The sequence below is a fragment of the Homo sapiens genome, chromosome 9 (genome assembly GCF_000001405.40).
Source record: "Homo sapiens chromosome 9, GRCh38.p14 Primary Assembly".
Classification (NCBI taxonomy): domain Eukaryota; kingdom Metazoa; phylum Chordata; class Mammalia; order Primates; family Hominidae; genus Homo; species Homo sapiens.
In genome coordinates, this window is record NC_000009.12 from 35695665 (window position 1) to 35714139 (window position 18475).

General features: G+C 51.3%; 1 protein-coding gene and 1 non-coding gene across 2 annotated transcripts in view, besides 2 other annotated features; both read right to left on the minus strand.

Annotated features, from left to right (window-relative positions):
* Positions 1–1283: 1283 nt before the first annotated feature.
* Positions 1284–18475, minus strand: part of TLN1 (talin 1) — a 35248-nt gene continuing 18056 nt past the window's right edge. Inside the window, exons 25-57 of the mRNA NM_006289.4 lie at positions 18289–18417; positions 17532–17634; positions 17171–17379; positions 16341–16460; positions 15931–16128; positions 15591–15730; positions 15325–15418; positions 15133–15222; positions 14897–15019; positions 12677–12820; positions 12067–12228; positions 11684–11824; positions 11408–11589; positions 11104–11236; positions 10786–10887; positions 10532–10702; positions 10298–10447; positions 10086–10187; positions 9887–10006; positions 9005–9151; positions 8668–8834; positions 8327–8510; positions 8111–8236; positions 7896–8012; positions 4527–4712; positions 4310–4417; positions 3692–3797; positions 3368–3492; positions 3144–3269; positions 2953–3015; positions 2659–2841; positions 2380–2508; positions 1284–2252 (exon numbers count right to left, since the gene is read on the minus strand). Coding sequence (NP_006280.3) covers positions 2127–2252; positions 2380–2508; positions 2659–2841; positions 2953–3015; positions 3144–3269; positions 3368–3492; positions 3692–3797; positions 4310–4417; positions 4527–4712; positions 7896–8012; positions 8111–8236; positions 8327–8510; positions 8668–8834; positions 9005–9151; positions 9887–10006; positions 10086–10187; positions 10298–10447; positions 10532–10702; positions 10786–10887; positions 11104–11236; positions 11408–11589; positions 11684–11824; positions 12067–12228; positions 12677–12820; positions 14897–15019; positions 15133–15222; positions 15325–15418; positions 15591–15730; positions 15931–16128; positions 16341–16460; positions 17171–17379; positions 17532–17634; positions 18289–18417 — 4506 coding nt within the window. The 3' untranslated portion in view covers positions 1284–2126. The remainder of the gene's footprint in view (positions 2253–2379; positions 2509–2658; positions 2842–2952; positions 3016–3143; positions 3270–3367; positions 3493–3691; positions 3798–4309; positions 4418–4526; positions 4713–7895; positions 8013–8110; positions 8237–8326; positions 8511–8667; positions 8835–9004; positions 9152–9886; positions 10007–10085; positions 10188–10297; positions 10448–10531; positions 10703–10785; positions 10888–11103; positions 11237–11407; positions 11590–11683; positions 11825–12066; positions 12229–12676; positions 12821–14896; positions 15020–15132; positions 15223–15324; positions 15419–15590; positions 15731–15930; positions 16129–16340; positions 16461–17170; positions 17380–17531; positions 17635–18288; positions 18418–18475) is intronic.
* On the minus strand, positions 15012–15077 carry MIR6852 (microRNA 6852). The gene has a single exon (NR_106911.1). It is a non-coding gene; the product is annotated as a microRNA 6852 (primary transcript).
* Positions 15117–16316: an enhancer, noted in NCBI's record as "BRD4-independent group 4 enhancer chr9:35710778-35711977 (GRCh37/hg19 assembly coordinates)". NCBI's record gives its function as "activates an origin of replication core promoter dependent on BRD2, P300/CBP, MED14 and CDK7 cofactors, and independent of BRD4, by STARR-seq in HCT116 cells {active_cell/tissue: HCT116}" and the evidence as "EXISTENCE:reporter gene assay evidence [ECO:0000049][PMID:35650434]".
* Positions 16408–16457: an enhancer, noted in NCBI's record as "active region_28332". NCBI's record gives its function as "activates an Ori minimal core promoter by ATAC-STARR-seq in GM12878 lymphoblastoid cells {active_cell/tissue: GM12878}" and the evidence as "EXISTENCE:reporter gene assay evidence [ECO:0000049][PMID:35858748]".

Below are 18475 nucleotides of genomic sequence, written 5' to 3' on the forward strand. Positions count from 1 at the left end.
ACTGCAACCTCCGCATCACAGGTTCAAGCAATTCTGGTGCCTCAGCCTCCCAAGTAGCTGGGAATTACAGGTGTGCACCACCATCCCCAGCTAAGGAAAATAATGTCTTGGTATTTTTATGAAAATAATTTTGACCTATGGACCCCTGAAAAGGTCTTAGGGAACCCTAGGGGTCTGAGGACCACATTTGAAGAGCTGCTGGTTTAATAGGTTTTAAAGCCTCTCCCCAGATGGCTCCCAAGGTATCACTAGTGAGAAGTATGTGATTGGTCCCAGTTCCTGAGGACATGACAAGGAAATGGTAACAGGAGTAAGCAGCTGTCCTGGGCTCCTAGCTGGAGTTCAAAGTCTAGACTGCCACTTGTCGGGGAGGTTATAGAAGGGATTTGATCTCCAAGGTCCTCAACTGATACTATGACATTGAATCTGGGATTAGGGAGCCCCCACAGTATGTACTGGAGTTGCCAGTCCTCTGCGTCAGAGAAGTGATAATACATCTCAATTTTCCAGTGCTTAGCACAAGCATGGCTTAGTAAATATTGAATGAATGAATCACAGGTGATAGGAGTGATGGTAGGAGGTTGGCACCATCCCTAATGGGCTGTCCTAGAGTTCCATCTACTTTCTTAGAGAAGGGCTCTCACTCCGTCACCCAGGCTGGTGCACAGTGGCACCATCATAGCTCACTGCAGCCTTGAACTCCTGGTCTCAAGCAGTCCTCCTGCCTCAGCCTTTTAAGTAGCTGGGATTAGAGGCTCGAACCACCGTTACCAGCTACATTCCATCTACTTCAAGCTTTCCCTAATGTGGTGGGAGTAGAAGGTGTTAGTAGCAGATGGGTGGCGTTTGTGTTCTACTTGAGGAAATAATGTACTGGGCGGTAGGGCTGACTAAAGAATCACGCATGAAAATAGTTGCCAACCTAAGACGACTGTCAGAGAGTCCATGCATTATGGACAGAGTGGCTGGATGGGGACGTGGAAGCACACAGCATCCACCTCTCTGACTGCCTCTTTCCACTGACCCACCAGATAAGCAGGGTGGCTGGAACAGGGCTGCTAGCACCTTCCTGGCCACTAGGGGAGCTCTGCCCCCTCTAACAATAAATTCTCACACCTGGGTCAAGCTCTTCACTTTTAGCGCTACCCTAGGCAGGAGTGTCCCAACCCAATCAAGAGCGGTGCCTACCCGAGGCAGCCTCAAGTTGGGATTTTTCTGCTTGCTAATGGCTTCAATCAGTTTTGTGGCCATAGTTCTCTTAGGCTCAGACACTTACAGGCATATTATTTTTAGCAAAGCTTCTTTTGAAAATTTGAATTTGGTCAAGGACTGGATTTGTTGACATACCCTGAGTAGCTATGAAGAACAGAATGTCCTGGTAGCCACAAGGAACTGTGGTAGCTGCTGTCCCAGCAGCAGCAGAACGACACTTTGTGAGGCTTAGGTGCTGGCCAGGGAGGTGAGGATAACAGGAGTATGACTTCTCAGGCACAACTTCCCCATTGGATAACTTTAGGGTCCGGGTGCAAGGAGGAAGGGACCTCAGGTGCAGACTGCCAGTCTTCCCCTCTCCCATTTCAAGCTGGATCAAGCTGGGTGACAGAATTCAACCCCACTGTCTCTCCTACTGCCCTGGGAGAAAACTTGTATCTCCCTTGAAGCCAGGCAGAGGTTGTAGGTAGAATCATTTTTATTGGAGCATGACCTGTTTGGGGCTTATAACTCTGCAGCCCCTATGGGTAGCTGGGGGTGGGGGAAGATAGTATCAAAAAACGGTGAAGAGAGCTGATGAGGCTGTGGGGACTGGCCGGAAGCTGCTGGCAGGGTGGAGTGGGCTGGGGCCCCGGCAGATTCAGATCGAGGTACAGCAGCGTTAATAATACTCTTGGAGCGTTAATACTCTGGGGAGGGGCAGGCACTTGGGGGGCCCTAGGGCATGAAGGCACTTGGGGTTGGGGAGGGGACAGGGGATGTACTGCGGGACTGGGCGGGGCCAGGCCCTGGGGTTTGGCAGGCACTTTGGGGAGTGCTGGGGTTGGGCAGGTTGGGCCCCGACAGCCCAGAAGGCTTTGGTAGTGGCACGCACAGTCTCTGGGCCGGGTCTGCATTAAATAGAAGAGGCTTCTTTAGTGCTCATCTCGAAGCTCTGAAGGCAGAAACTTGTACTGCTGCTGCCGGATCTGGGCCAGTTTCTTCCGCGCCTCTTCCAGCTCTCGTTCCTTCCGAAGCATTTCTTCCTGTGCTGCGATGATCTGAGGGTGGAGATCGGGGACTTAGTTCAGTGAGGATGCACAGCAGGGGCATAGGGTAGTTGGGACCAGCGCAGGCAACATGACTGCCCTCCTGACAGCGTCCCTCAGCATCTGGGGTGAAGCTCACCTGGGCAATGCCGCCAACCATCTTCTCTTTCACCACCACTGTCTCATTCTCCTGCTCTTCAAAGGCTGCAGCCTTCTGTGCTGCTTTCACCAGATTATCTGAGGCTCGCTTCACTGCGTTGCCAGCAGCCTGGGCAGAGAGAAAGTGGCCTAGGTTGAGAACTCAGGTACGGTCCCAGTTGAGACAGTACCTCAATTCTCTCATAGAAACATACATCTCGGGAGTGACAGTTTGAAGCAGTATAGCCCAAGGGACAATGGGATGGGTCAGGGTTCTCACCTGAAGTCGTTTCATTGCCTCCGAGTCCTGGTCAGCCTTGACCTTGCAGGCCACAAGGAGCTGGGCTGTGGAGGCAGCTACCTGCTTGGCTGATGAGATGAGCTTCTCCTGGCTGGCATGGCCTTGTACAGCTGCATTGGCTGCCTCACACAGATTGTTGGTGGCCGCAGCCACCATCCGGGCCTAAAGCAGGGAGAGTTTGCTTAAAAATATGCCCCTTGCCCTGGTCCATCCCCACTCCAGCCTTCTCAAGTCTCTCAAACTGAGAGAGACCTAGTGGTATTGCACACTTACAGCAGAAATGAGGCCCTGGGACCACTGCCCATCGTCCAGTGCATTGGCTGGAATGGCACCCACCTGTAGGAAGGAGAAGAGCCTACTTAGACCTGCATTTTCCTCACTTCAAAGACTCGCTGGCTATGGATGTGGATGTGGACATCAAAGTGCCAACCTGTCCCCATTCTTCTGGGTATTTAAGCACTCACCTTCCCTTGGGCCACTAGTTCTCTCTGGGCAGCCGACGCAGCCTTTACCAGTGCACTGGTGGCTGCTGCAATGGACTTGGCAGCTTCTAGTATCTGCTCCTCAAAGTTCAAGGACTCATCTGCCTCCTGCAATAAGCGAAGGTTGCAGAAAGAGATGTAAAGTCAGAGATGAAGGTGGGGACACTGCCATGGTGAGGGTGGAAGAGGAAGGGAGCAGGACTGACCTTGGGTTTGGCCCGGGGCTTCAGCTGCTCTAGCTTTTTGGCTGCAGCCTCAATGGCGGCTGCAGCTCCCAGGAGCTCATTCTCAGCAATGACTGTGGGGTCCTCTGGGTCTACCCATTCTGTTCCTGGTGGGATGAAGGAAGAGGAAAGAGGCTAAGGCAGAGTGGGGAGGTCAAAAGCACCAGGGAGCATGGTTAGTATCATCAGGCCCTGGCATCTGTGGGGACTATGGTCAGAGGCTAGCACAGAGCTGTCCAGCCAGGAAGCAGAGATCACACCATGATAAGGGTTTTCCATCCGTCCCTGTCCCTGGTCACCCCTCACCCTTCATGGCTTCAGCAGCCTGGATGAGCTCAGTGACGGAACCAGCCACACGCTTTGAATGTCCTGTCAACTGCTGCTTCAGTTCTGGGCTTGGCTTCTGCAGGGTCTGGGCAAGAAGCGGGCAGGGGACAAAGAGCATCACATCTTAGGGTCTACCCTGATCTATGAAATAGGGCAGACCATGGCCCCCTCACCCCTATCCCTAGAGCACTCCACACCATAGCCCTCAAACTCCACGCTGCCTATCCAAGTACACATCATGCATCACACCTCACACGTGATAGAGACAGTGGGGCTGTGTCACTCACCGGCTGACAAGGAGCAAGGAGAATGATGAGATGAAAGAGGAGACGACGAAAGTAGAGAAGGGGGTGGTCAGGTGGGAAGGGAGGAGAAAAGAAAAAGAGGAAGAGGAAGAGGTGACTGGGAGAACCAAAGATGATAAGAAGGATGGGGCCTGGGAGAAAGGGAGACTTGGAAAGGAGAACAGATTTGGGAAGTAGAGGGTGGGGTAGGGAGGAGATCTGAGCAAAACAGACAGCAGGGTGCGAGGCCTGCAGGAAGAGGGCTGTGTATTCAGGGAGGCTGGTATGAGGAACAAGCAACGCCCTCCCTTACCAGCAGTACATGGTCCAGCAGTTCCAGGTAGCCATTGGCACACTCCCGGCCATAGTGCAGGGCTCGAAGCCGCACATCAGGGGCCACTTCTGGGTGGTAAGCTGCTTCCTGTCCCCAGAGTAATATGTTAGCTTTAGGCCCCGCAGATCCCTACAGTTTCTCTCCCACTATGTTCTGGCCCAAAGCTGCCTCACGGAAATGCCTCAAGGATTTCTACCTTGCAAGCCCGAAGCATATCTGCAATAGCACGGCGGCTCAGATTGGCTGTGGCAATGACATCTTCCTGGCGACAGGAATTGCCAGCAGCAACGGCCTTGGCGGTTGCCATGGTGATACCCTTGGTCATTCGGATGAAGTCTTCTGGGGTAGAGGTCTTGGCAGGTGGCTCTGGGGAACAGAAAACCTGTGGGGGCAGAAGAAGAAGAAAGATTTTACAGTGGCTGAGACTATGAGACAGCGTAGAACTCTGTGTGCATGTGATTTGGTGCAGACATTCACACATCACAGTGAATGTAACAAGGCAGTTGGTTATTGTTTCTGACTGAAGCAACTGGGGAGTTTGTTTGTTTGTTTGAAATCACAAAAGTAATTACAAAAGTGGCTTTTGGCTGGGTTTTCATTCCCAAAATAGAGAGAAGCCTTGAAGGGGTGAGAGGCAGAGCTAGGCCATAAAAGATATACAGATGATAGGAGGGCATTTTAGGTAAATGGTAGGACATGAACAACCAAGATGTCACATCGGAAAGTATCAAGGAATGTTCTGGAATATAGGAATGGTGAAGAAAAGGTTATTGGGGACTTGAATATCACACCGAGGAACTTGGACTTTTACATAATATGTGAAAGTCATAAAATATTTTGATGTACGGGTTCAATCTGCAAACATTTATTAAAGATCAGCTAGGTGGCAGATTCTATGCAAGGGGCTAGGGATGCTCCCTGTTCTCATGGAGCTTACATTCTGGTTTTGGACACAGGTAATAAATAAATAAACAAGCAGCAAAACTGAGGACTGTGATTTGGATTATGAGAGAATAGAGACAGTGCTGTGATGAGAACTACTTCAAATAGGTGGTCAGGGAAGGGCTCTCTGAGGAGGTGACATTGAGGCTGAAGCCTGATGAACTGGAAGGAGCACAGTGTTCAAAAAGCTGGAGAGAACTGAGTGGAAGAGCCTGCAGCAGATAAGAGCTTGGCATGTTCTCAGAACTGATGGTGCAGGGGGATGGGGCACAGAAAGGAAGAGAGTAGGATGAGACTGGAGAAGCAAGCAGAGCCATCACTAATGGGTTTTAAGTAGTGAAGTGACATAATCTAATATATATATATTTCTTGCTCTGTCACCCAGGCTGGAGTGCACTGGAGTGATCATAGTTCACTGCAGACTTGAACCCCTGGGCTCAAGGGATCCTCCTGCCTTCAGACTCATGAGTAACTGGGACAGGCATGGGCCACCTTGCCCAGCTAATCTTTAAATTTTTTGTAGAGACAGGATCTTGCTATGTTGTCCAGACTAGTCTTGAACTCACTCAAGTGATCCTCCCATCTCAGTCTTCCAAAGCGCTGGGATTTTACAGGCATCAGCCAGCATGTCCAGACTCTAATTTATATTTTAAAAACATAATTTTAGCTACTGTGTACAAAGGAGGATTGGAGGGGGCAAGTGTTGAAGCATGGTGACTGGATAGAGACTACTGCATAAATCCAGTTAAGGACTGATGATGGTTTGGACAGTGTGGTAGTGGTAGGAGATAAAAAGAAAAAATGAGCTGTATTTGGAAGGGGCACTAGCAAAACTTAGATGTGGGGAATGAGAGAAAGAGAGAAGTCTAATATATTGAAGCTAGGTTTCTGGCTTTAGGAACTGAGTTACTAAGAGGTGCCATTTACTGAGATGGGGGAAGACCAGGAAAGGACCAGGTATGGGAGGCAGAAAGTCAAGAGTTCCAACTTGGACATCTTCAAGTAAAAGTGAAAACAGAACCTTAGAAAGATGCATTTAGAAATTAGAAAGATGAGTAGGGAGAGAGGAGAGTGGCAGGGACCAGAAGCAGGGAGACCAGGGAGAAAACTGGTGCCACAGCCAAATTGCGGGAGAGTATGGAAGTGTGAACCAGAGTGCGGACAGGGAACCAGGGAGGAGGAATGAAAGGACGTGGCAACAGCCTGGATATGGTGGCTAAGATGGTGAAGTCAAAGATGACTGAGGTGGAATCTTCATGACTGCAAGGGTGTTCCCACCATTAGGAGGACCATGTCATGGTTCGGAGGCACTGCATCTAGGTGGTGATGTCAAACAGGCAGTTGAAAATAACTCAACTCAGAACTGGATGTCTGCTTCTTACAGAATAATAATGAAAGTGGTTAAACTTGCCAAAGAAGAGAAGAGAGAAGGAAGACTATTTGTACAACCCTGGGAAGGCCTCCACATTTACTAAGTTAAAGGTGATTCAATGACGTTCGAGAAACAAGAGAAAAGCCAGTATCTAGGCCAAGGGAAGAAAGAATTTCATTTTTTTTCTTTTTTGTTTTTTTTTGAGATGGAGTCTCACTCTGTTGCCCAGGCTGGAGTGCAGTGGCGCCATCTTGGCTCACTGCAACCTCTGCCTCCCGGGTTCCAGCGATTCTCCTGCCTTAGCCTCCCAAGCAGCTGGGACTACAGGCGCGTGCCACCACGCCCAGCTAATTTTTGTATTTTTAGTAGAGACGGGGTTTCACCATATTGGCCAGGCTGGTCTCGAACTCCCGACCTTGTGATCCACCCGCCTCAGCCTCCCAAAGTGCTGGGATTACACCCGCTGGCCTCCCAAAGTGCTGGCGTGAGCCACCATGCCCAGCAGAAGAAAGAATTTCAAAGAGAGGCTTGTTAACACAGTCAGATGCTTTCGAAATATTCAAAGAGGATGAAGGCCAAGAAGTGGCCACTGAATGTAGCAACTAAGAAGAGGCCACTAGTGACTGGAGAAAGTGGGAGGGTGGTGAAAAAATACAGTTGTCACATGCTAAGGAATAAACAAGTGGGTAGGGGACAGACATGAATGTAGCTCACTGGCACAGTGGCTCATGAGTGTAATCCCAGCACTTTGGGAGGCCAAGGCGGGTGGATCACTTGAGGCCAGGAGTTCGAGACCAGCCTGGTCAACATGGTGAAACCCCATCTCTACTAAAAATACAAAAACTAGCCAGCATGGTATGCACCTGTATTCCCAGTGACTCAGGAGGCTGAGGCATGAGAAGCACTTGAACCTGGGAGGTGGAGGTTGTAGTGAGCTGAGATCACGCCACTGCACTCCAGAAGGAGGGTGTGGGAGAGCTGGGGTAGGGGAAGTCACATGGTGACTGAGGAAGATGCCATGTGAAATGGAAAGGTCACCCACACCTGGGAGAAATGACAAGAGGAGAGGGCTGAGAAGGCTGGAGGAGGATGGCTACAGAGCAAGACCCTTCTCAAAAAAAAAGTCTGGCGATAGATGAGAGAGAAGACTGTGTGTGACTCCAGCTGTGAGTATATGTGTGGCACAGGTTCACAGGCTTTCAGGATCCCTCTCTCTGACCCTAGTCACTGATGCCCCAGACTCTCACTCACCGCCAGCTCCTGCCGTATGTGTTCTGTGGTTGCCTCCAGGGCCCGAGTGCCTTTGGTGGCCTCATCTTCCACGGCTTTTACTGTCTTAAGCAATGATGTCACATTGGTCACCATCACCTGGAGGTATCAGAGGAGTGAAGAGGAATGATTTTAAGGAACAGGAGGAAGTATGTTAATCCAGTGCCCCTCCTGATGTTGCTCTCATTCTCTCCAACCTTGGCAGAGTTCTTTAGCTGCCACACAGCAGGGTCATCTCCAACTTTGCCAGCTGCAGCCTTCGTTGCACTGATGAGGTCTCCCAGGGCTTTGGCTACATCTTTCACTGCGTTGATTAGTACCACCTGTGTGGGAAAGCGTTGGCTCTGGTCTATGGGAGGAAGAAGCGGGACAGGAAGTGATTCCAGCCGGAATTAGGGGCATCAGGTCACTACCTGGGTCTCAGGGTCCTCAGCTCCCAGGCTGGCTGCACCCAGCTTGACCACATCAGCGAGGCGGGTGATGGTCGCCACGGAGGACTGGGCAGCCTGCGCCAACTTCTCCTGGCTCCCAGCTGCGTTTTGCACCAGGACCTTGGTGTCCTCCACCAGCACCTTCGCAGTCTTCAGGATGCCCTCCCTGAGGGAGGGCCCAGCTTAGTCAGATCTCCCCTACCCGCTCCAGCCCGTCCAAGGTGCCTGGTCCAGGTCTTCCCCATTCCAGCGAATGCTATCCTGCCTCTTCCAGCCCCGTGCCCCGACCTGTCTGCCTCCCTTAGGCCCAGTTCCTGTCTTACCGGTGGTCAGCGAAAGTTTCAGTACCCTCACGATTGAGCGTGCCAGCAGTGGCGAACATGATGGTGGTGTCGAGGTCAGCAATGATACCAGACACAGCGCTGGCTGCTGTGATGCAGGCCTGGGTGCCACGATTCCCAGCCTGGAGCGCAGCCAGGACGTGGGAGACCTGGGTAGGGAATGTCACATGGTGACTGTGGAAGGTGCCATGTGAAATGGAAAGGTTGCCCATGCCTGGGAGAAGTGACAACAGGAGAGGGCTGAGAGGGCTGGAGGAGGATGGCAAAGGCTACAGAGTTTGGAGGCAGTCCCACCATCTGCAGGGATGAGCACCGTCACCTTCTCAGAGACTCTCCGGGCACACTCTATGAGCTCCTTCTTGGTGTAGGCATCACTGGGGCTGCACTGCAGGGCGCCTGCCTTGGTGACCAGAGCGGCACAGCCATGGCCCAGCTCCTGTACCCGGTGTTTGATATGGGAACCTATCTGTGAGCCAAGGGAAAGACAGATGGATTTTACAAGGGGCACTCAGGGTACCTTCACTGTGCTTGGAAAAGTCACTAAGGACATAGAAAAAAACATGCATTGTAGACTAAAGAAGCAGAGAGAGAAGGTTCCCAGCACAAGGACGTTTCCGGTTGCATATCCTTTAGGCAGAAGGTCACCTCCTACACACAGAAAATAGTAGCACGCAGGCACTAAGTGGTGAGGATTGTGTTAAGCACAGTGGGGAGAAGGGGAGGAGCACTTTATGCTTGAATGTGGGAATCAGAGGGCCGTGGATTACCATGTGGCCTGTATGGGGTTATGGAGGGTTTTAAGGATGGGCATTACATGTGTCCTGCTAAGATCCAATTACTTGCTTTCTTGGAAAGCTAGAGGCTTAGGTAAGGAAGAGCTTCATGAGTTTGCAACAAGAAAGAACAAGAACATGGACTGGCAGCACAACAGAGAAGCAGCTGTAGGCCCAGATGAGGGTCGGCAGAAGCCAGAAAGGCAGGCCCGGGAAGGCTCCAGATTCTGAGCTGTTTCCTTTGTACCTGTGACTGAAGGCTTTGATCCTCTGTCCCTACCCAGAGCCTCACTAGTCTTCAGCAGAGTGGCCCTGAGGCTGTTCCCCTTTCTATGAAAGACCAGAGAGGGTGGGGGTGGGACAGCCCTAGACACTGACACATCAGGAACAAGGGGCAGGGGGCAGGGCAGAGTTGCCTCCACGTTTACCTCTTCATTTTCAGCAGCCACCGCTGCAGGCTTGGCCTCCGAGGCCAGACGGCCATAGTCACTGGTCAGCTGGTTAGCAAGAGGGCCCAGCTCCTCTGGGCTGGTGTTTGACTTGGTAACCTGGTGATAATGGAACGAGTGAAGTTATATCCAAAGTCAGCTCTCCGAGGGCAGTCCTCTGGGACTCGCCCAAACTCACCATCTCCTGAACGGTCACTGCAATGGCCTTGGCTGTCCGCACCATAGTTGTTTGGTAATCCACGAAGGAACCTTCTGGTTCACCCATTGGTCCTTCATCTAGCTGAGGGGGGAGGATAGGGAAAGGGAAAGACTGTTAGGGTCTCTGCCACTGTGCTTGGAGGCTCTGGCCCAGGGTAGCCTCAGTGTCCAAAGGCACCCCAAGACTCTAACCTGGTTGATGGCCTGGGTGATGGAGTCCACCATGCCACCCACGACCCCAGCAGCACTGGCTGCCTCGTTGAGGGTTGTTGTCAGGTCCTCTACGGCCTCGGTCATCATCTGCACAGCCTCCTCCAGGGCTTCCTGGGTGTGAGCTGCTTGCTGTGGGGAGAGGAGAGGAGCTCTGTTGTTCCTGTTTCTCCAGCCTCCTGCTAGTAACAGCTCCTCCCTCCCAACCCTCAATACCTTTGGGTTACCACCAGCCTCCTTGGCAGTGTATAGCAACTGCAGGGCAGACTCTGCCAATGTTTTAGTCTGGTCCAGGAGTGCCATCTGCTGCGGGTGGCTCAGGGTCTTGGAGGCAGCACCCACTGCAGCCAGGGTGAGCGGCTCAAAGTACTGCGCCATCTGGGACACCTGAGGCAAGGGGTTGGACTAGGGGTCAGGTCCCCTCTCTCTCACCCTACTCCCTGGGACTTCCCATGAGTCTCCATAGGTACCTTGTGTCCCAGCTGGGAGGCTTCAGCCCGGGCAGCATTGGCCAGCGGCTCAATGAGATGGGAGATCTCTTGGACTGCAGTGAGCATCTGAGTGTGCAAGGCCTGGGGAGGAAGTGGACATTAGCCCTGATGGTGACCTGCAATAGGACCCTCTGGCTACAAAGAACTGCTCTTCTGTCCATACCAAATACCCTAACCCTCCTTCGCACATCCCAGCCTTTGATGTCCCTAAGAAGCCACTCCTTGATCCCCCAGCTTCTTTGAGTCTGATATTTCTCTTCCTAGACACATCTTTCCATATAACCCTCTCCCTCTCACCTCTTGAGAGATTCCCTCACGGGGAGCAAGCTGCTGGCTGACTGCAGCGAGGGAAGCCTGGTCTAGGTCCCGTAGACAACTGTTCAGAGCTGCAATGGCCGTTTCACACTCCAGCTGCCCTGGAGCCTTGTCCCTGCAGACACATCATGGGCTCCAACACCAAGAACATCCCCTACTGCAAGGCCAGCCTATCCTTCCCCTGTATCCTCCCAACACCATCCCATCTCATTGCACTCAAGTGCCCATCCTCCATTCTGCCACAATGTATGCCCCCCAGCCACACTGGTTCCCCATCCCTCAATACCTCATGCTTGTAATTAGCTTCTTGATGGAGTCTGAGACAGTACGGGAGTGGCCGGCCAGCACCGACCAGCTCGGGGGGTCCCGGGGATTGACTGCGAGGGCCCGGGCTGTCTGGATGAGTCCCCCGGCACTCTCTAACATTGTCTTGGCAGAGATCACAATGGGCTCCATGGCAGCCCGACCCTGGGGAGAGGGGAGGCAGGAAGGTAAGTCTCAGGAGTCCCTGGAAGATGAGGTGATAAGCTGGCCCATCAGTTCCCCCTTCACATCGCCTCACCTCAGGGCTGATCTGGGCAGGAATGCTGGAGAACTCAGGGTTGGACGCAAAGGCACTCAGATTGTCCACAGCCTCCAGCAGAGGGGCTGTTGCTGCTCGGCACTGGGCACGGTTCTCCTCTGTGAAGGCCCCATCTAGCGCCTAGAAGTGACAGAGAGGCTCTCAGGACTTGGGATGCAGTCATAGGGGGTATAGGAAGTGAAGTCCAGGTCTCCTTCCTGGGACTTACAGGATTTGGGGAGAGGCTAGGTGGTCAGTCTGAATAGAAAGAGCTTGGGCTCAGGCAGAGGGGATTTGGTAGAAGGCTTCAGAGAATAACTGGGGGACTCGGGGGAGAAGATAGGACAGGTCAGGGAGAGGCTGGGAATTCAAGCAATGGGAACCTTGATGGTCTTGACAAGATTAGCTGTGCTGTTGGCCACCTCCTTGGCTGACTGTACAAACTGGCGCTTGGCAGTAGGATTGGTGGTACGGGCAGAAGCCAGGCGACAGCTGTTACACAGTGCAGAGGTGTGTTTAGCCACAATGGTGGCTGCAGAGAGCACCTGAGGAGACACATGGAAGAGCCACGATGAGGGCAGGAAGGAGGTGTACATACCCAAGGAGGAGCCATTTTAGGGTCAGGGGATGGAGAGCAATACCCTGAGGAGTCAAAACAGGAATAACAGAGTCACCTGAAAAGTCAAGATCTAGGAGACAGAGATACCCAAAGATGAACTGGGCATGGGAGAGGAAAGACATACTAATGGAGAAACCATAAGAGGGCATGTGGGAGAGTAAGCTCGAACATCTACAGAGAAGTTGTGAATTTAGCAGTAACTGATAAATGATGAGACCCATGGCAGAAAAAGACAGTTACCCAAAAAGAAGCTGTGTGTGCAAGGTCAGAGATGGGTCCCTGCCCTCTTTCCCACATGCCTCACCTCCCTCTACTCCACGGGGTCGGTCTGCCCTTTCCCAGACTCGCCTGTGGTCCCTGTTCCCTTGAGTTACCTGGGCCTGGGTACAGCCAGGCTCTCCCAAACTCTGGCAGGCCATCTGAATTGCCTGGTTTGCACGGGCAAACTGTGTGGGCTCCACTAGCCCTTGCTGTCCAGCTTGGCTATTGGGGTCAGAGACACCAACCAGATATGCAGCCTGGGAAGAGAAAAGGGGGTGGGGGTGAGGAATAAAGATTGCAGGTGGGAAATGAATAGTGATAGTAGGGACAAAAGAGAGCAGAGGTAAGTTTAGAGAATAGGGCTTATTTTCCAGAGTTCTCCATGAGTGGAGATACATTAGCAAACAATGGTTACACTATAAAGAAGAAAAAAAATACTCTCCTGTTTTCATTAAGTATATTCAAGCATTTCAGAAGATTAAAAAAGTTAATAAAAAGGAAAACTACATAGCAAGGGTTTTTATCCAATCTCTATTTAGATATGTTTGTGTATGTTGGGTCTTAGAGTGAAAAGTATGGCTTACTGTAAGTAGCAGTAAAACGTTTGAGAGCCATATATAAATACACACCTTTGTGCACACAAGCAAAGCCTCTTTTAAAGACAGTTCAAAACTGATGAAGGTTATTAGGCTAATTCACATTTATAGCACCTCCATGCGTCAGATATTTGGAAAGGAAGGGAGGGGTTAAAAAGCCATTTTTATGATGGAAAGAACATCCTAATGTTTGATTCATACTTCAATCAATACACAGTAGCTTTGCTTTTTCCTCTATGCATTTTCAGAAGGTGGGGGGAAAAAAACCAAACAAACAACAAAGAGGTTTAGTGAAACCCTGTCTCTACTAAAAATACAAAAATCAGACGGGTGTGGTGGCAGGCGCCTGTAGTCCCAGCTACTCGGGAGGCTGAGGTAGGAGAATCACTTGAACCCGGGAGGCGGAGGTTGCAGTGAGCCGAGATTATGCCTCTGCACTCCAGCCTGGCGACAGAGCGAGACTCCGTCTCAAAAAACAAACAAACAAAAAACCAAAAAAACAAAAAAACAAAATCAAACAAGCCATCTAGAGCAAGGCGCCTATTCTGACAGGGCACAGGGAGGTGGTGGAGATGGAGGGCTAGGATGGTAGGCTTTCAGGGAAAATAGTCTGAAGTGAACTCTTATGATGCCAGTTTGTTTTAAGGATTCATATACTAAAGCAAAATACTTTACAGCTAATAGGTAGTTTTATACTTGATAATGTGGGAAAAGGCAAAGTTAAGTGATAACTCAAGTAACTGGAAATTTTGTCACTAGTACTATTTTAAGAAAGTAGTGATTGGCCGGGCGCGGTGGCTCACGCCTGTAATCCCAGCACTTTGGGAGGTCGAGACGGGCGGATCACGAGGTCAGGAGATCGAGACCATCCTGGCTAACACGGTGAAACCCCGTCTCTACTAAAAATACAAAAATTAGCCGGGCATGGTGGCGCGCGCCTGTAGTCCCAGCTACACGGGAGGCTGAGGCAGGAGAATGGCGTGAACCCGGGAGGCGGAGCTTGCAGTGAGTCTAGATCGCGCCACTGCACTCCAGCCTGGGCGACAGAGCGAAACTCGGTCTCAAAAAAAAAAAAAAAAAAAAAAAAAAAAGAAAGTAGTGATTACAGGCCAGGCGCGGTGGCTCACGCCTGTAATTCCAGCACTTTGGGAGGCCGAGGCAGGTGGATCACGAGTCAGGATATCGAGACCATCCTGGCTAACATGGTGAAACCCTGTCTTTACTAAAAAAAAAAAAAAAAATACAAAAAATTAGCCGGGTGTGGTGGTGAGCGCCTGTAGTCCCAGCTACTTGGAAGGCTGAGGCAGGAGACTAGCGTGAACCCGGGAGGCGGAGCTTGCAGTGAGCCTAGATCACGCCATTGCACTTCAGCCTGGGCGACAGAGCGAAACGCTGTCTCAAAAAAAAAAAAAAAAAAAAAGAAAGTAGTAATAACATGAAAAAATAGTTTGTATAAGCTAATTAGTATATTTTGAGAAAGCCAGCTGGAAAAGGCCTCACGGTTGGGCAGTGTAATCCTAACCAAAGTACCAGGGTTCAGGAATTACAGAAATCAGAACTGCTGGTGTTCAGTAATTGCTGACAAGTGTCTCCACTTCAGGAGGAGGACAACCCAGATTCCATAGAGTTGGCTTTGCAAACATAAACTTCTTGATTTATCTACAGGTATGTCAGGCTGAGAGAAAATGGGGTAAAGAAAGTAGGGGCCATTCAAAGAACCCATCTCAGGAAAATAACCTGTGCAGCTGCCTCGGTGAAGCCACAAAGTGCCTTTGAGGCTGTGGAAATGGCATCTCCAAACTCTGGCAGGTTTCCGTTCTTGGCATTTTGGGAGATGCCAGTCATGGCCTCGCCCAGCACCTGAGGAACAGAGGACATCAGGGGAGTCAGAGCATGTCCTCAGAACCCCAGGGCAGCATCTGGTTAGCTCCATCCTACTGCCCTCTCTCCTCCGAGTTCCTGGCTGTGCTGACCTTTGAGTTCTCCATTACACTGTCCAGGCAACCAAAGTAGGACATGTCATTGATGGGCTGGACTGGGTTCTCCAGGAGTTCCCGGACCGTCTGTGTAGGGGGAGGGCAAAGTGAGATCCAAGACACCTCCCTCAGGCCCAAAACCAGAACACTTCCCTCAACCTCAATGCCATCAGCCTGCCATGTGTCTACCTCCAATTCCCGCAGGGCGTTATCACACTCCTTCTGGCCGGGTGCCTGCTGGGTGCACATAGTGATGAGCTGATTGATGCTGTCAGTTACTGCCCTGGGAGTGACAGAAAGTTGAGTGAAAAGGTGAATAGGTCATCATTCCTGGGTCCTATGTAAGTATTTATCTTTTGCCTATAACCATTCCTAAGCCAAGAAGCTCTCATGAACTGCCTGCTCCCCAGTCTCTCTCACACAGTCCAGGGCTGGGCTTCTCAGCAACTACTTACCTGGCAGCTGCAGCCAGCTGACTCTTGAGGTTAGGGGCAGCAGGGTCCGTGGACAGGGCCTTGGCAGCCAGAAGAAGTTTGCTTGAAGACATGGAGATGCCCTTCAAGTTGGACACAACTTGGGCTCGGTCCTCCTGGCTCTGTTGAAGGTGACAAGGTCAATGCATTGTCCTGTCCTTTCTTATCTGTCTCTAAAAGGGATCTTCTTTCCCAGACACTCAAGTAGTGCTAGAGACTGGGGAGGGAAGGGAGCCAGGAGCAAGTCAGGACTGGTCACTCAACTGCCTCCTATCTAACCCTTAGTGGGAACCATTCAACCAGACCCTCTGCCTCTTCATACCGGAGCCTGGCCTGCCATCTCCACACCAGCTTCCAGGAAGGTGCTGAAGTCCTGTCCAAATCGGCCTGAGGCTCGAGCCAGGTCCTGAGGGGTTCCCCGAGAGGCCTGCACCAGTTCTGTGGCTGCCTGATTCAGCCCAGCAGCAGCTTCATTCAACCGGCTCTGAGCTTCTTGAAATGTCCCAGTGCTAGGAGGAAGCTGCAAGGTGAGAGGGGAAGTCAGACAGAAGAGTGGGGAATGATGCAGGGAGAAGTCTGGTAAAGGAGGGCTGAAAAGGTGGGCACATAGCCTGGGAGTAATGAAAGGGGACAGATCTGGGAAGTCAGGGTCAAAGGACAACCGAGAGGGAGGAAGGAGAGGCCTGGCATTCTTTGACTCCTACGTTCCCCCACCCCCTACCGTCCTCCTACCGAGTCACTCAGGAGTCGCTTGCTGGCATCTCCAACTGCCCTCAGGGCATTATCCACATCGCGCTGGCCAGGTAGGCAGCTGACACAGCGGTTCAGAGCCTGGGTCACTGCTTTAGCCACCTGGGGTGAGAAAGGAGACAGGGTTGCCCAAGTGAAAAGAATTTGAGAGATCGCCTCCATTCACGCGACATGGGAGATGACTAGCTCTACTGCCTCTGAAAGTGAAAAAAGAAAGGGGGCGTTGTAGGTGAACAGGCTGAGGTTAGGGTTTCAAGTGACAGTAATTAAACTTCCCCAAACTTGGTGTTTAGCTCAGCCCATGACTGAATCCAACTGAGACACTTCTACAAGACCAAGAGGGCCGGGCACAGTGGCTCACGCCTGTAATCCCAGCACTATGGGAGGCCGAGGGGGGCAGATCACGAGGTCAAGAGATCGAGACCATCCTGGCCAACATGGTGAAGCCCTGTCTCTACTAAAACAAAATTCAAAAATTAGCTGGGTGTGGTGGCGCATGCCTGTAGTCCCAGCTACTAGGGAGTCTGAGGCAGGAGAATCACTTGAACCCAGGAGGCGGAGACTGCACTGAGCCGAAATTGCGCCATTGCACTCCAGCCTGGGCAGTAAGAGCAAAACTCTGTCTCAAAAAAAAAAAAAAAAAAAAGACTAAGAGAACATAAGGGTGGAATCCACAGAGGGGCTGTCAAGAGCAGACCCAAGAAGACATCACTCTGTGAGTGTGGACGAGGCTCAGAAGCTTTGGCCTCAATCAGGGTGGGCCTTATGAAGGAACCTGGGGGAGAGGGAGTGGCCCTTTCCCAGTATCTGACCTGGGCAAGCCGCTGCTGGCTCTCAGGGTCCCCTGGATGGCCAGCTGCCTTTTTCGCCTCCTCAATGAGGCTGCTGGCCTTGTCCAGCACATCACTGGCCGTATCAAGTACAATGGCCTGCACTGCAGGATCTGACGTCAGTGCAGCGACTCCCCTAGCGGCCTGGGCCAGTGACCGCAGCCCACCTGCCACATCCCGAGCTGCAATACCTTGGGAGATGAGGAGAAAGAGGGAAGGGAAGGTGCTTTCATTGCCAGGCCCTGATTCCAGTGGTTTCGTCTGTCAGTCCCATCCCTCATCCAGCTCCCATTTTCCTACCTCCCTCACAATATGCCCCATGCCTGGCTCTCTGCCCACATACCTGCATAATTCTCATTGCCCTGGGCAACCTCTCCCAGTAGCTGGGCGATGGCTGAGCTCACGGCTTTGGTGCTGTTGCCCAGGTCCTGGGTACACTTCTCCATCTAAGGATGAAGGGGGAAGAATTGGGCTTGAGAAAGGAGAAGGTGAGGAGAAGGAACCTGAGAAGGTACTTGGGGACAGGTGGCAATTTAAATAAATGTTTTGGGCTGGGTGCGATGGCTCCCACCTATAATCCTAGCACGTTGGGAGGCTGAGGCAGGTGGATCACCTGAGGTCAGGAGTTCAAGACCAGCCTGGGCAACATGGCGAAACCCCATCTCTACTAAAAATACAAAAATTAGCCAGGCGTGGTGGTGCATGCCTGTAATCCCAGCTACTCAGGAGGCTGAGGCAGGAGAATGGCTTGAACCCAGGAGGCAGAGGTTGCAGTGAGCTGAGATTGCACAACTGCACTACAGTTTAGGTGACAGAGCGAGACTCCATCAAGAAAGAAAAAGAAATAAAAGAACGGAAAAGAAAAGAAAAGAGAAAAGAAAAGAAAGAGGAGAGGAAAGGAAGAAAAGAAAGGAAGGAAGAAAGAAGGAAGGAGAGAGAAAGAGAAAGAAAAAAGGAAGGAAGAAGAAAGAAAAGAAAAATAAAAGAGAGAAAGAGAAAAAAGAAAAAGGAAGGAAGGAAAGGTTTTGAGCAGCTCTGGGGCACGGAGGTGAAGGAAGACTTTAGGATTTGAGTAAGAATGAGGTCTTAAACATACTTACTGTCTCCCCAGGTAAGGGTTTAAGCTTGCCATCTCGAGCTGCTGCCTTCACTTCCTGTAGATCTTTCTCTAGATTCTGTACCACACTCAGTGCAGAATCCATCTCCAAAGGTCCACATGCTTCCTGAGCCTATGATAAGAAAGGGGTTTTGGGTGTAGAAGGTCCTGCTGTGTCTCACCAATGCCTC